General features: G+C 42.5%; 1 protein-coding gene across 12 annotated transcripts in view; it reads left to right on the plus strand.

The window, feature by feature from the left end:
- The window catches only part of TOX2 (TOX high mobility group box family member 2), a 154,765-nt gene that overhangs the window by 127,902 nt on the left and 14,459 nt on the right, over positions 1-12,404 (plus strand). For all 12 annotated transcript variants that reach the window (XM_047440561.1, NM_001098797.2, XM_047440565.1 and 9 more), the window contains 2 exons: positions 8,553-8,792; positions 11,546-11,773. In XM_047440561.1, coding sequence (XP_047296517.1) covers positions 8,553-8,792; positions 11,546-11,773 — 468 coding nt within the window. The remainder of the gene's footprint in view (positions 1-8,552; positions 8,793-11,545; positions 11,774-12,404) is intronic.

The following is a 12,404-nucleotide window of genomic DNA, read 5'->3' on the forward strand; positions in this document are numbered from 1 at the left end:
TTTATTCTAAGAGGATCAACAAGCCAATGAAGAATTTTAAGGAGGATAGTAGCCTGGCCTGACTTATTTATATAGAGAGATATTAATTGCTTGGGATGTGAGGAGTGTGAAAGACATAGGATTCATTATGGAGGTGGAACCAATAATGGCGTGTCCTGGCTAGTGCCTGGGGTTGTAAGGGAAAGGGAGAAGTCAGGGTTTCTGTTCAGGTTTGTGGCTTGGGTGACAGCAAGAACAGCAGTGCCATTTTACTATTTTGGTAAAACTGGAGGAGGAACAGTTTTCAGGAGAGGGAAGAGCTCCATTTGCAGCATGTGAAGTTTTATATGCTTGCGGGGCATCCGAGGGAAGATGTCACTCAGGGACTTGGATGTGGGAGTCTGGAGCCCAGGTTGGGGATGAGGGGATGAGGCTGACCCTGTTTCAGACATTTCAGGGTGCCTAATGTGGCCAATTAAGTTATGTAGGTACCAGCCATTTCCCCTCATTCCAGACTTCCCAGAACTCATCACATTTAAGTTTAACACTCTGCTTGGAAGAGCCCATATTGTTGTTGCTGCTGCTTTGGATCTGCTTTTGAAGAAATAAATATTGCAGGTACAAGTTAAGGTCCCTTTGTACCTCTCTGTTCTCAGAAAGAAATAACCACTATTCTGCAGTGAGTGTTTTTATGCTTTTACTACATTTTCATATATCCTTGAACACCTGACAGTGATGTTTTATATTTTAAACGTGTTCATAAAGGCATTATACTGTATGTGTCCTTCTGAAACTATCTTCACTGGTTATTGTCTTTGAGTTCATCTGCATTGGCAGCTGTAGGTCCACGTTGGTCAGGTTAACCGTCTACAGAATTCCATTATGTGAATACACCACAGATTTTCGCCATCTCCCAGTTAGTGAATGTTTATATTATTTCCAGTTTTTTTGGAATTAAATGCCATAATGATCATCTTTGTTGTAATGCATAACTTTCTAAAGGTAACATCATAACTCTCATACAAATATAAGATGAAAGCATGCCAAAAATTTATTTAAGTCGTGATTAATGAGGAATCCAGTAAGATATGACAACAGGTTCAAAGGTGAATCTGAAGAGTAGACACATATATAGGCAAACAGGAATGGTGAGATAAATTTTCTAAGAAATGGACCCAGCCATCCCATTACTGGGTATATACCCAAAGGATTATAAATCATGCTGCTATAAAGACACATGCACATGTATGTTTACTGCGGCACTATTCACAGTAGCAAAGACTTGGAACCAACCCAAATGTCCATCAGTGATAGACTGGATTAAGAAAATGTGGCACATATACACCATGGAATACTATGCAGCCATAAAAAAGGATGAGTTCACGTCCTTTGTAGGGACATGGATGAAGCTGGAAACCATCATTCTTGGCAAACTATCGCAAGAACAAAAAACCAAACACCACGTGTTGTCACTCATAGGTGGGAATTGAACAATGAGAACACTTGGACAAAGGAAGGGGAACATCACACACTGGGGCCTGTTGTGGGGGGCGGTTGTGGGGAGGGATAGCATGAGGAGATATACCTAATGTAAATGATGAGTTAATGGGTGCAGCACACCAACAAGGCACATGTATACATATGTAACAAACCTGCATGTTGTGCACATGTACCCTAGAACTTAAAGCATAAAAAAAAAAAAAAGAAATGCAAAACTGCTTAATGGCTATAGAGCAACCAAACATAATGTTTGGAATCATCCTTTTTACAGGGTGGGATCAATTATATCCCTACCGGACAAAATTTCTTTGCATTTTTATGGACAAGAATGGGTTTCACTCTACCTCACACCTATTAGGATGGCTTCTATTGAAAAGAGGGAGAGAGAGAAACGAGTGGCGTGGATGTGTAGAAACCGCAACCGGAACCCTTGTGTGTTGCTGGTGGGAATTGAAGTGATATAGCCACTGTGGAAAACAGTATGGTGGTTTCTTAAAAATTAAAAAACAGAATTACTATATGATACGGCAATTGGAATTCTGGGTGTCTACTCGAGAGAATTGAAAGCAGAGGCTCCACGAGATACTTGTGCACCCACATTCCTAGCAGCATTATTCATAATGCCCAACCAACTGCCTACCAGCAGATGAATGGATAAGCAAAATGTAGTCTATACATACAAGGGTGTATTGCTCAGCCTTAAAAAGGGAAGAAAGTTCTGATTCAGCTGCCACGTGGATGAACCTTGAGTACCTTAAGCTAAGTGAAATAAGTCAGTCACGAAAGAATACTGTGTGATTCCACTTGTTTGAGGTACCTGGAGTAGTCATAGTTCTAGAGACAGAAAGTAGAAGAGTGGTTTCCAGGGCTGGGGGAAGAGAGGAATGGGGAGTTCTTATTTACTAGGGATGGAGTGTCAGTTTTGCAAAATGGAAAGAATTCTGCAGACGGCTGCTGGTGATGGCTGCATAATGGCGTGAACATATTTAATGCCACTGAACTGTACACTTAAAAATGGTTGATGGTAAATTTTATGTGTATTTTATCACAATTTAAATTTTTAATGATTAAAAAAATCAGTTGCATTAATGTCACCTTTCTAGAGCTTACAAAGTTGTAAAATAAATAGCCTAGACAAAGACGTGTACTCCTATAGAAGCAGGTAACCCCAGAGGTCTGCTGGACAATGCCCCGCAGTTCATTGAATGACACTCATTTGTCCATCTTGAAGTCTTTTGCAGTTTTCCACACTGTGTGTATGTCTTCTTGTGCATGTGTGAAAGTTCTTTATAGTAAACATCTTGGAGTAGAATTCTAGGTTATAGGATATCTGCATCTTCAATATACTGAGTGTTGCCAGGTTGTTTTCTAAAGTGTTTTACATACTAGTCTACACTCCTAACAGCAGTGTATGCAGAAACATAAATGGTCCAGTAAACTTATGAAAAGGTGGTCACCCTCACTAGTGATCAGAATGGTGGAAATCAGAATGACTTTGAGAGAATTTCACACTTAGCAGGTTTGCAAAACTTCAAAAATCCGCCATTATCAAGAGTTGGTAAAAATATTAAATCACCAAGTCAGGAATATCTGATGGAAGAATTCTAAAGCAGGCCACTGGGAAGAAAAAGAAAACAAGCCCTAATACAGAGTTCTAAAGCTGATTTGATCTTGAGGAGCTAATGCCAGATTCTTGCTTAAGGCTTATAGAAGGTGAGAGTGCGTAAGCTATGGGGTGGGAAGAGGAGAATGTTTGGAGAATACATTTTAAAACCTTCTATAAAACAGTTCACTTTAAATCTGTCTCTCAGATATTTGTATGATTAATAATCAAATACATATATGTCACAATATATTAAGAACTGGGTTAGAAACCAGTATCTACCTACACACTGTTTACACTTAAAATTATGCAGGACAAAAATAAAACAGTGAAAACTTAGAGTGATAATGATAGCAGATAAAGTAGGATGTAAGACAGAAACATTAAGGCAAAGATGCTTATTTTTTATGAGCAAGGAGAAGCCACAGTAAAGACATAACATTCTGGGACATTTACAGGATAAATAACTTCACGTTAGTGTGTATGCAGAAAATCTGTTTAAATTTTAGAGAGAAACTGCTGGAAACACAATAGGAATGGCAGGCTTTGTGGAAAACAGTATGGTGGTTTCTTAAAAATTAAAAAACAGAATTACTATATGATACGGCAATTGGAATTCTGGATGTCTACTCAAGAGAATTGAAAGCAGAGTCTCCACGAGATACTTGTGCACCCACGTTCCTAGCAGCATTATTCATAATGCCCAACCAACTGCCTACCAGCAGATGAATGGATAAGCAAAATGTAGTCTATACATACAAGGGTGTATTGCTCAGCCTTAAAAAGGGAAGAAAGTTCTGATTCAGCTACCACATGGATGAACCTTGAGTACCTTAAGCTAAGTGAAATAAGCCAATTCTTTTGAGATTTTACACCTAAAGTAAAGTAGTCAAAACTGTTTATTGAATAGACATATGGAGAAATTTGTACAATATACAGTATTATTTCCAATATACATGAACGGTTTTGCAAAAATTGATCATACTTTGGTGACACAATAGTCTGTATACCAAACCCCTGTGACATGCAATTTGTCTCTATAACAAACCTTCACATATACCCCTGAACCTAAAAGTTTTTAAAAAGGAAAAACAAACTGATCATATCCTAAGCTATAACAAAAATCTCAGTACTTTCCAAAAAGATAAAATTCTGGGAGTCATGGTCTCTGATCTTGATAACAAAGGATACATTAAATAAAAACACTCTTCCAAATAACTTTAGGGTCAGAGAGAAAATAAAATCATCAATGTAGACTATTTTAAAAATACTTATATGATGTAGCTAAAATTCTCCCTGGGAGAAAAATCATAGTTACAGTGCAGAGTTTCTCAACCTCAGCACTATTGACATTTTGGGATGCATAATTCTTTGTTTAGTGGGGACATCCCTGGCCACTACCCAGCAGATGCCAGTAGCTTCCCACCCTCCAGTTGTCAGAACCAAAAATGTCTTCAGAGAAATGCCCCCTGCATGGTAAAATTGCTCATCTCAACTCCTGCCCTAGATGTTTCTGTTACTAAAAAAGAAAATGTGAAAATAGCTTAATTTGAAAACCTATGTAAAAAACAACATATGCTACCTCAAGTCAACATTAATAGAGAAGAAAGCAGAATTTAATGAATTATCATGAAAGTTGTCAAATTTTTTTAACATCTGCACTAAGAAAAATTCCTCTGCCTTGGGATCCTGTTGATCTGTGACCTTACCCCCAACCCTGTGCTCTCTGAAACATGTGCTGTGTCCACTCAGGGTTAAATGGATTAAGGGCGGTGCAAGATGTGCTTTGTTAAACAGATGCTTGAAGGCAGCATGCTCGTTAAGAGTCATCACCAATCCCTAATCTCAAGTAATCAGGGACACAAACACTGCGGAAGGCCGCAGGGTCCTCTGCCTAGGAAAACCAGAGACCTTTGTTCACTTGTTTATCTGCTGACCTTCCCTCCACTATTGTCCCATGACCCTGCCAAATCCCCCTCTGTGAGAAACACCCAAGAATTATCAATAAAAAAAAATTAAAAAAAAAAAAAAAAAAAAAAAAAAAAAAAATAAAATATAAGAGCTGGTTCTTTGGCTAGACAGTTGAAATATATAAACTTTTGGCCGGGTGTGGTGGCTCATGCCTGTAATCTCAGCATTTTGGGAGGCTGAGACGGGTGGATCACTTGAGGTCAGGAGTTTGAGACCAGCTTGGCCAACATGGCAAAAACCCATCTCTCCTAAAAATACAAAAAGTAGCCGGGTGTGGTGACATGCACCTGTAATTCCAGCTACTCAGGAGGCTGAGGCAGAAAAATTGCTTGAACCCTGGAGGTGGAGGCAGAGGTTGTGGTGAGCCGAGATAGCATCACTGCACTCCAGTGTGGGCAACAGAGCAAGACTCCGTCACAAAAAAATAAATAAAATAAATTTTGAGAAGGAAAATTTTAAAAAGCAACGTGTATTCACAATATTACAATTTTGAATGGGAACTGATGAAAACCACAGAGTATATTTTTAAATATATTATCCAGTTATATGCTAGTACATGTTAGTATCTGGATAAAATGAATTTATATATATATATATATATATATATGTATAATTTACCAAAACTGACTCGAGAGAAAATGGAAACTGAAATAGACCTATTAGCCATGAAGGATATTGTGAAAACAAAAAGCACTGGGCCTCAGATGGTTTTCTGTTTAAGCTCTTTCATTCTCTAAGGAAAATGTAATTTATATGTTATCTATACTGTTCCAGGGCATAAGGGAAGAGTTCAATTTCTAAAGCTGATCATAACAAAAACATTTGACAAAAGTAACCCTAAAAAATAAAAACTAAGAGATTTGTAATAAAATACATGCCAGACACATTCAAACAAACATACAGGCAAGGACAGCATTATTCATATCAGACTCCACTGAATTCAAGGCAAAAAAAAAAATGAGACAAAAAAGATACTTAATAAAGAGTTTAATCCATAATGAAGATACAATTGTCTGTCTTCTTTTTGTAATAAAAACCAATATCAGGGCCAGGTGTGGTGGCTCATGCCTATAAAATCCCAGCACTTTGGCGGGCCGAGGTGGGCAGATCACTTGAGGTCAGGAGTTTGAGACAAGCCTGGCCAATATGGCGAAACCCCGTCTCGCTCTACTAAAAATACAAAAATTAGCCAGGCATGATGGTGCCACCTGTTGTCCCAGCTACCTGGGAGGCAGAGGTTGCAGTGAGCCAAGATCGCGCCACTGCACTCCAGCCTGCGCGATGCAGCACAACTCTGTCTCAAAACAAAACCGACATCAAATTCCCAAAACAAACACTTTAAGCATTAAAAGGAGATATTTTTATGGAAACAGAAAAATTGCAGGCAATCTGGACAAGCCTGTGTAAGATTAAAGAGCCAAAAAGGTAAGGAATCTAAAGAATAATCACTGATGGAATGGAAAAATATACTGCTGTATTCATCTGCAAACATAGCCTATTCTTTGTAAGGACTGTGGAATATGTACACAATTTAATCATATTTGGGTCTCAAAGAAAACCTTAACAAAATCTCAAACTTGTAAATAGTACAGACCCCATACTTTGATAATTTTTGTTACTGGAAATTGTAGCCAAAAGAAAAAGAAAATTAGCCACTTAGAATTTCCAGAACTCTTCTTTTTGTTAGCCTTTTTAAATTTAAGCTCCAGGGTATATATGCAGGATGTGCAGGTTTGTTACCTAGGTAAATGTGTGCCACGGTGGTTTGCTGTACCTATCAACTCATCACCTAGGTGCTAAACCCAGTATGCATTAGCATTTTTCTTGATGCTGTCCCTCCCCTTGCCCCCTCAACGCGCCCCAGTGTGTAGTTCCCCTCCCTGTGTCTAAGCGTTCACATTGTTCGGCTTCCACTTACAAGTGAAAACATGAGGTGTTTGGTTTTCTGTTCCTGCATTAGTTTGCTGAGGATAATGGCTTCCAGCTCCATCCATGTCCCTGCAGAGGACATGATTTCATCCCTTTTTATGACTGTATAGTACTTCATGATAGGTATGTACCACATTTTCTTTCAGTCTATCTTTGATGGGTATCTGGGCTGATTCCGTGTCTTTGCTATTGTGAATAGTGCTGCAGTGAACACACACGTGCATGTATCTTTATGATAGAATGATTTATATTCCTCTGGGTATATACCCAGTAATGGGATTGCTGGGTCAAATGGTATTCCAGAAGTCTTCTTGAACAACTCTTGGATCAAAGAAGAAAGTAGATTTTAAATGTTCTCATCTAAGCAATGCTAGGTGAGGTGATGAATATGTCAATTATTTCACAGTGTATACATGCATCAAAACATATCGTACATATAAATATATACAATTTGTCATTTGTCAATTAAAAAATAAAATACAACTCAAAATTGAGGGGGAAGCAGCAATTATGAATCTTTAAAATGCGGAGGAAGGGATAGCTAAAGACAAAGAATTAGAAAACAGAGAAGCAGAAGTGATACACTTGAGATTTGATTCTTTTGAGGAGAAAAGAAACAACCCACATAAAACTGAAAACCTGTTTGCTTTCCTAATGAAGAAAAAATGGGAGAAAAACAGATACTTGATGTTTGTTAGAAATTAGAAAGGGCAAATAAATAACCACAGATGCAGAGGAAATAAAAATCGTAAGAGTATGCAAATAGGTATGCTTCACTCAACAGGGTGTGGACATATATTTAGGTCCAAAGTCCTATCCTCAATGCGTGTTTAGTGTGAAAAATGCTTATATGTAAAACCAATAACTTTCCAGAAGTAACCAGTTAGAAAATATCATGGGGAATGGAGTTAATAACAAAATTGCTGACCTGTAGGAAGAAAAGTACTCAACTTTATCAAGAAATTTATTTATTCAATGTATTTAACACATGCTTATACAATATAGGGCTTACTGTATGCCAGGTACATTTGATCTTTAAGGAACCCTAGAATGTAGGTTTGCTCATATCCACATTTTACAGATGAAGAAACTGAGGCACAAAGAGGTTAGGTAACTTGGCCAAAGTCACCCAGCTGGTAGAATGGCAGGACCAGGATTCAAAATGTAGTTAGCGTCGTCCAGCATCTGTGTGCGTTGCTATCATGCTGACTGCTCAGTTCATGCAGAGACATATTGCATTCCAGGAGGGAAGACTCGGTCTCATCAAATGATCCAACATAACTGGACTGAGCTCTCTGGCAGGGGCTGAAATGCAAAGCGTCTGTCCGAGGTGAATGTCAGTAGAATGGCACACAGCCACGGAGCTGCCGGTTTCCCACGAGTGCACTTAATCATACAGAGGTCCAAGTAGCATGAGGCTCCATCTTGAGATTCACCTGTCAGGGATCGGAGCAGGAGCCGCACCCATCACTTCTCCTCTGCATTCCCTCCTCTAAGTCCGCTAGCACAGATGTGATGGAGTGGCAGGACAGATCCTTCCTAACTCAACCCTCCTGTCCTCCTCTCTTAGATCCAGGAGATGGTCCACTCGGAAGTGGCTGCCTATGACTCGGGCCGGCCCGGGCCCCTGCTGGGTCGCCCGGCAATGCTGGCCAGCCACATGAGTGCCCTCAGCCAGTCCCAGCTCATCTCGCAGATGGGCATCCGGAGCAGCATCGCCCACAGCTCCCCATCACCGCCGGGGAGCAAGTCAGCGACCCCCTCTCCCTCCAGCTCCACTCAGGAAGAGGAGTCGGAAGTGCATTTCAAGGTATGTGCGGTGGAGGAACAGAGCCTGAAGCTGCCCTCCTGTCGGCAGGGAAGGGGTCCTGTGGGGAAATGGGCATCACCTCCCTCTAGTAAAGACTAGAAAAGCCTGATGTCCCAAGGTCCCCGTAGGTGCCATTCCCACTGAGCAGGCGTTCCTGGTGGCGGTTGGGATGTCCGCCACAGAGCTCAGTGGTTTTCTGTTAAGACCCCCAGGCCACGCTGGAAGCCAAGGAAAAAGCACATTGGCAGGTGGAGCACCTGGTCAGGGGGGATGGCACCTATGGGGCTTTGTGGCATCGGGCTTTGGCTGCTCCAAGTGCTGAGCGTCCTTGACAAGCTGTGTTCCCTCGGGGCTCCCACAGCCTTGTGCGTAAAGCAGAGAAAATTCCAACAAATGTTGAGGGGATGGGGTGAGAAGATCCTGTGAAAGTTGGCAAAGACTGACTCCTGAAGGCCAGTGGGCGATTTCAGAGGTGTGGACGGCTTCAGCAAGGCCATCGGGGTCACATTTATGGCCATTTGGCCCTTTTAGGAGAAAATATTCTGACAAAACTGTGTGGTCCAGAAGACAGCACCTCTGGGCCTAGAGTATTCACTGACCTTGAGGGTGGGGTGCAAAAATGACCGCCCCACTGGGAACATGCATTCCCCCAACATTCCTGGAGTCTAGAGTGGTTTGACCTCCTCAAGAACATGGTAGGGATGAGAGCCCGCCACCTGTCCGGGCTCTGGCCCTTCTTTGCATTGACTCCAAATCCACCTCCCGGTGAGAGAACATCTTGTCTTACCAGGGAGGAAAACAGAGGCCCAGAAATGCCAAAGACAGAAGTGTTTGCCCAGGGCCTCCCAGCGAGCTAGTGGCAGAATTAAGACTTATCTCCCTCCGTGCCTCCTGCCTCTGTCGATCCAGTGTCCTTTCCACGTGGTGGCCTCCCGAGGCCTAGGGCAGTAACCCTGGACTTTGGGGGAAGAGGGGTTTACTTCTGGATCCTGGCCCAGCTTCATCCTAAGGATGACTCGACCTCTATTATAGTCCATGCAGGAACGGTTTTTATTTAACAAACACTCTCTATGGGCCAGACACTGCTCTAAACACATAACAAGTATACGTCCATGTAATCCTCATAAAAGTCCTATAGGGCAGGGACTGTTATTATCTCTGTTTGGCAGATGGGGACACTGAGGCACAGAGAGGTTAAGTAATGTATCTGGTGTCACACAGCTAGTAAGTGGGGGGAACCAGGATTCAAACCCAGGAGGCTGCAGGTGCAGTCCAGTGTATGTGCCCTCAACCCCCTGCCCTGCTGTGCCTGTTCAGGACTTTATCAATGACAACATGCCTCTTCATCCCTGATCTTGCTAGGGTCACACCACGGTGCTAACACAACTGGGGCTTGGAGAAGGGAGTAGCTGCAGAGATAAGCCTCAGGAACAGAACCATGTCCTTCAGACATGGATGCCTGATCATGCCTACTGGCCCATGGCTTTGTCATCAGGTCAACATGTCACCTCCATCTTCTTGGCTCCTAGAGCCAGAGTCTTCACTACAGGGTCCAGGGCTTTTGACCAAAGTCCCCTGTTCCTACATGGCTTGAGTGACCCAACAGAGACCCACTGAGGTCTGTGGTGGGCATCCCAACACCACCCCATCCTGGAAGCCCTAAGTCAAGTGTTCACAGGATCATGGTCCTGCAGTCTGTCCAGAGTGAAGCCACTGGTTCCAGGGCTGACGCAGTAACAGTCGCTTTAGCCTCGTGCCCTCCCCACTTCACAGGGTCAAGGGACTAAGCCACCTGCTCAAAGCTGCACAGCTGAAACATGGCGGTGGAGACCAGCCTTTTGTAATGCAGGATCCTTTTTGGGGATTGTGCTCACAAGTGGGAGGGCAGATATATACACACACACACACACACACACACACACACACATATATATATACACACATATATATACAGACATATATATACTATATATACACATATATATACATATATACTATATATATACATATATACTATATATACACACACATATATATACTATATATACACACACATATATATACATATACACACACACACACACGTATATACACATATACACACATGCACACACACTCCAAACTTGGAAATAGGCCCCCAAATAACTGCACATTCTTTCAATGTCATACCAAAGCCTTGGCTAACAGGCTCACTCAATAATTATCTGATTCCCTAGGAAACTGGACCTTTGCTTTGATTCATTATTCACTATTGATTAGGGGATTTCACAACTCTGTAAAAGAAGATGTTACCTTGGGCGGGGGAGGGGAAGTGATAAGAGATGTAAGGGATTTTTGTCTGATTATAAGGCAAATTAACTTTGCCCGGTAGAGATGCAAATTTCTGTCCAGTAGAAAAGATTAAAAGTCCCAAAGGTGATAGTTTCAGCGCTCTATTGGGCACTAACCAGTTTCACGTGTAATTTAGTAATCTAATTCCAGCATTCTTTCCATTCTTTCAGTGACTATACAGTCCGTCTTCTCCTCCTGCATTTCTCTGAATCAACTTTACAATCATGCTGATTCTCTTTAATGAGTTAAACACCCACCCAGGGTGTGTGTGTCTGTCTGTCCATTGCCCCCTCCATCGCGCGAGTGGTTATCTGTGCATGAGCAGGGCTGGAGAAGTGCAGCTCGGCCCAAGTCTGTGTTGATCGCCTTTGGCAGGAGGCCCTTGGGCTTCTTTGGTTTTCTGACTCTTCTCACTCGGGCAGATCTCGGGAGAAAAGAGACCTTCAGCCGACCCAGGAAAAAAGGCCAAGAACCCGAAGAAGAAGAAAAAGAAGGACCCCAATGAGCCGCAGAAGCCTGTGTCGGCCTACGCACTCTTCTTCAGAGACACTCAGGCCGCCATCAAGGGTCAGAACCCCAGTGCCACTTTCGGTGACGTGTCCAAAATCGTGGCCTCCATGTGGGACAGCCTGGGAGAGGAACAGAAGCAGGTGAGCCTCCCTCTCTTTCTGGGCCATCCCCTGAGGCTTTGTGGTCCTGGAACCAAGGACACACTTTGAAGGTCTGAAACCAGGCCCAGCTCTGGAACTAGAGACTCTTACAGAGGTCTTTCCTGGGCTCAGGTTGCCCATCTGTAAACTGGGAAGCTAGCTGCCTTCCAATTCTACTAACCAACTGCATTTACTAGCAACTTAACCACTCTGAACCTCTGCTTCCCGCAACTTAACCATTCTGAACCTCTGCTTCCCCCTTGATAAAATGAGAACAAGCATCTCCATCCATCTTGTCCCACCAACCCTAAAAGTCTGGAGTCCAGGCCAGAGCTTCCTATCCCACTGACCATGTGCCTGTGGCCTCCTCTAAAGGCCTCCAGGGAGAATAGAGAGCAGAACTAGCTGGTAGGCAAATGGAGTTGCCAGCTGTGTGACCTCAGCCTGACCACCTAAACTCTCTGAGCCTCGGTTTTCATGTCTATTAAAACAGGGGTGCTGGCTACTCCTTCTCTGAGCTCACATCTGGGCTGGGCTTTCCCCCCGGTATGTCACTGAATCCTTACAACACCCTGTGGAGTAGCCATTGCTTTCCTGTTTGGTAGAGACACCAAGAGGTAAAGTGACTCAC

This window comes from Homo sapiens, chromosome 20 (assembly GCF_000001405.40).
Source record: "Homo sapiens chromosome 20, GRCh38.p14 Primary Assembly".
Lineage (NCBI taxonomy): Eukaryota > Metazoa > Chordata > Mammalia > Primates > Hominidae > Homo > Homo sapiens.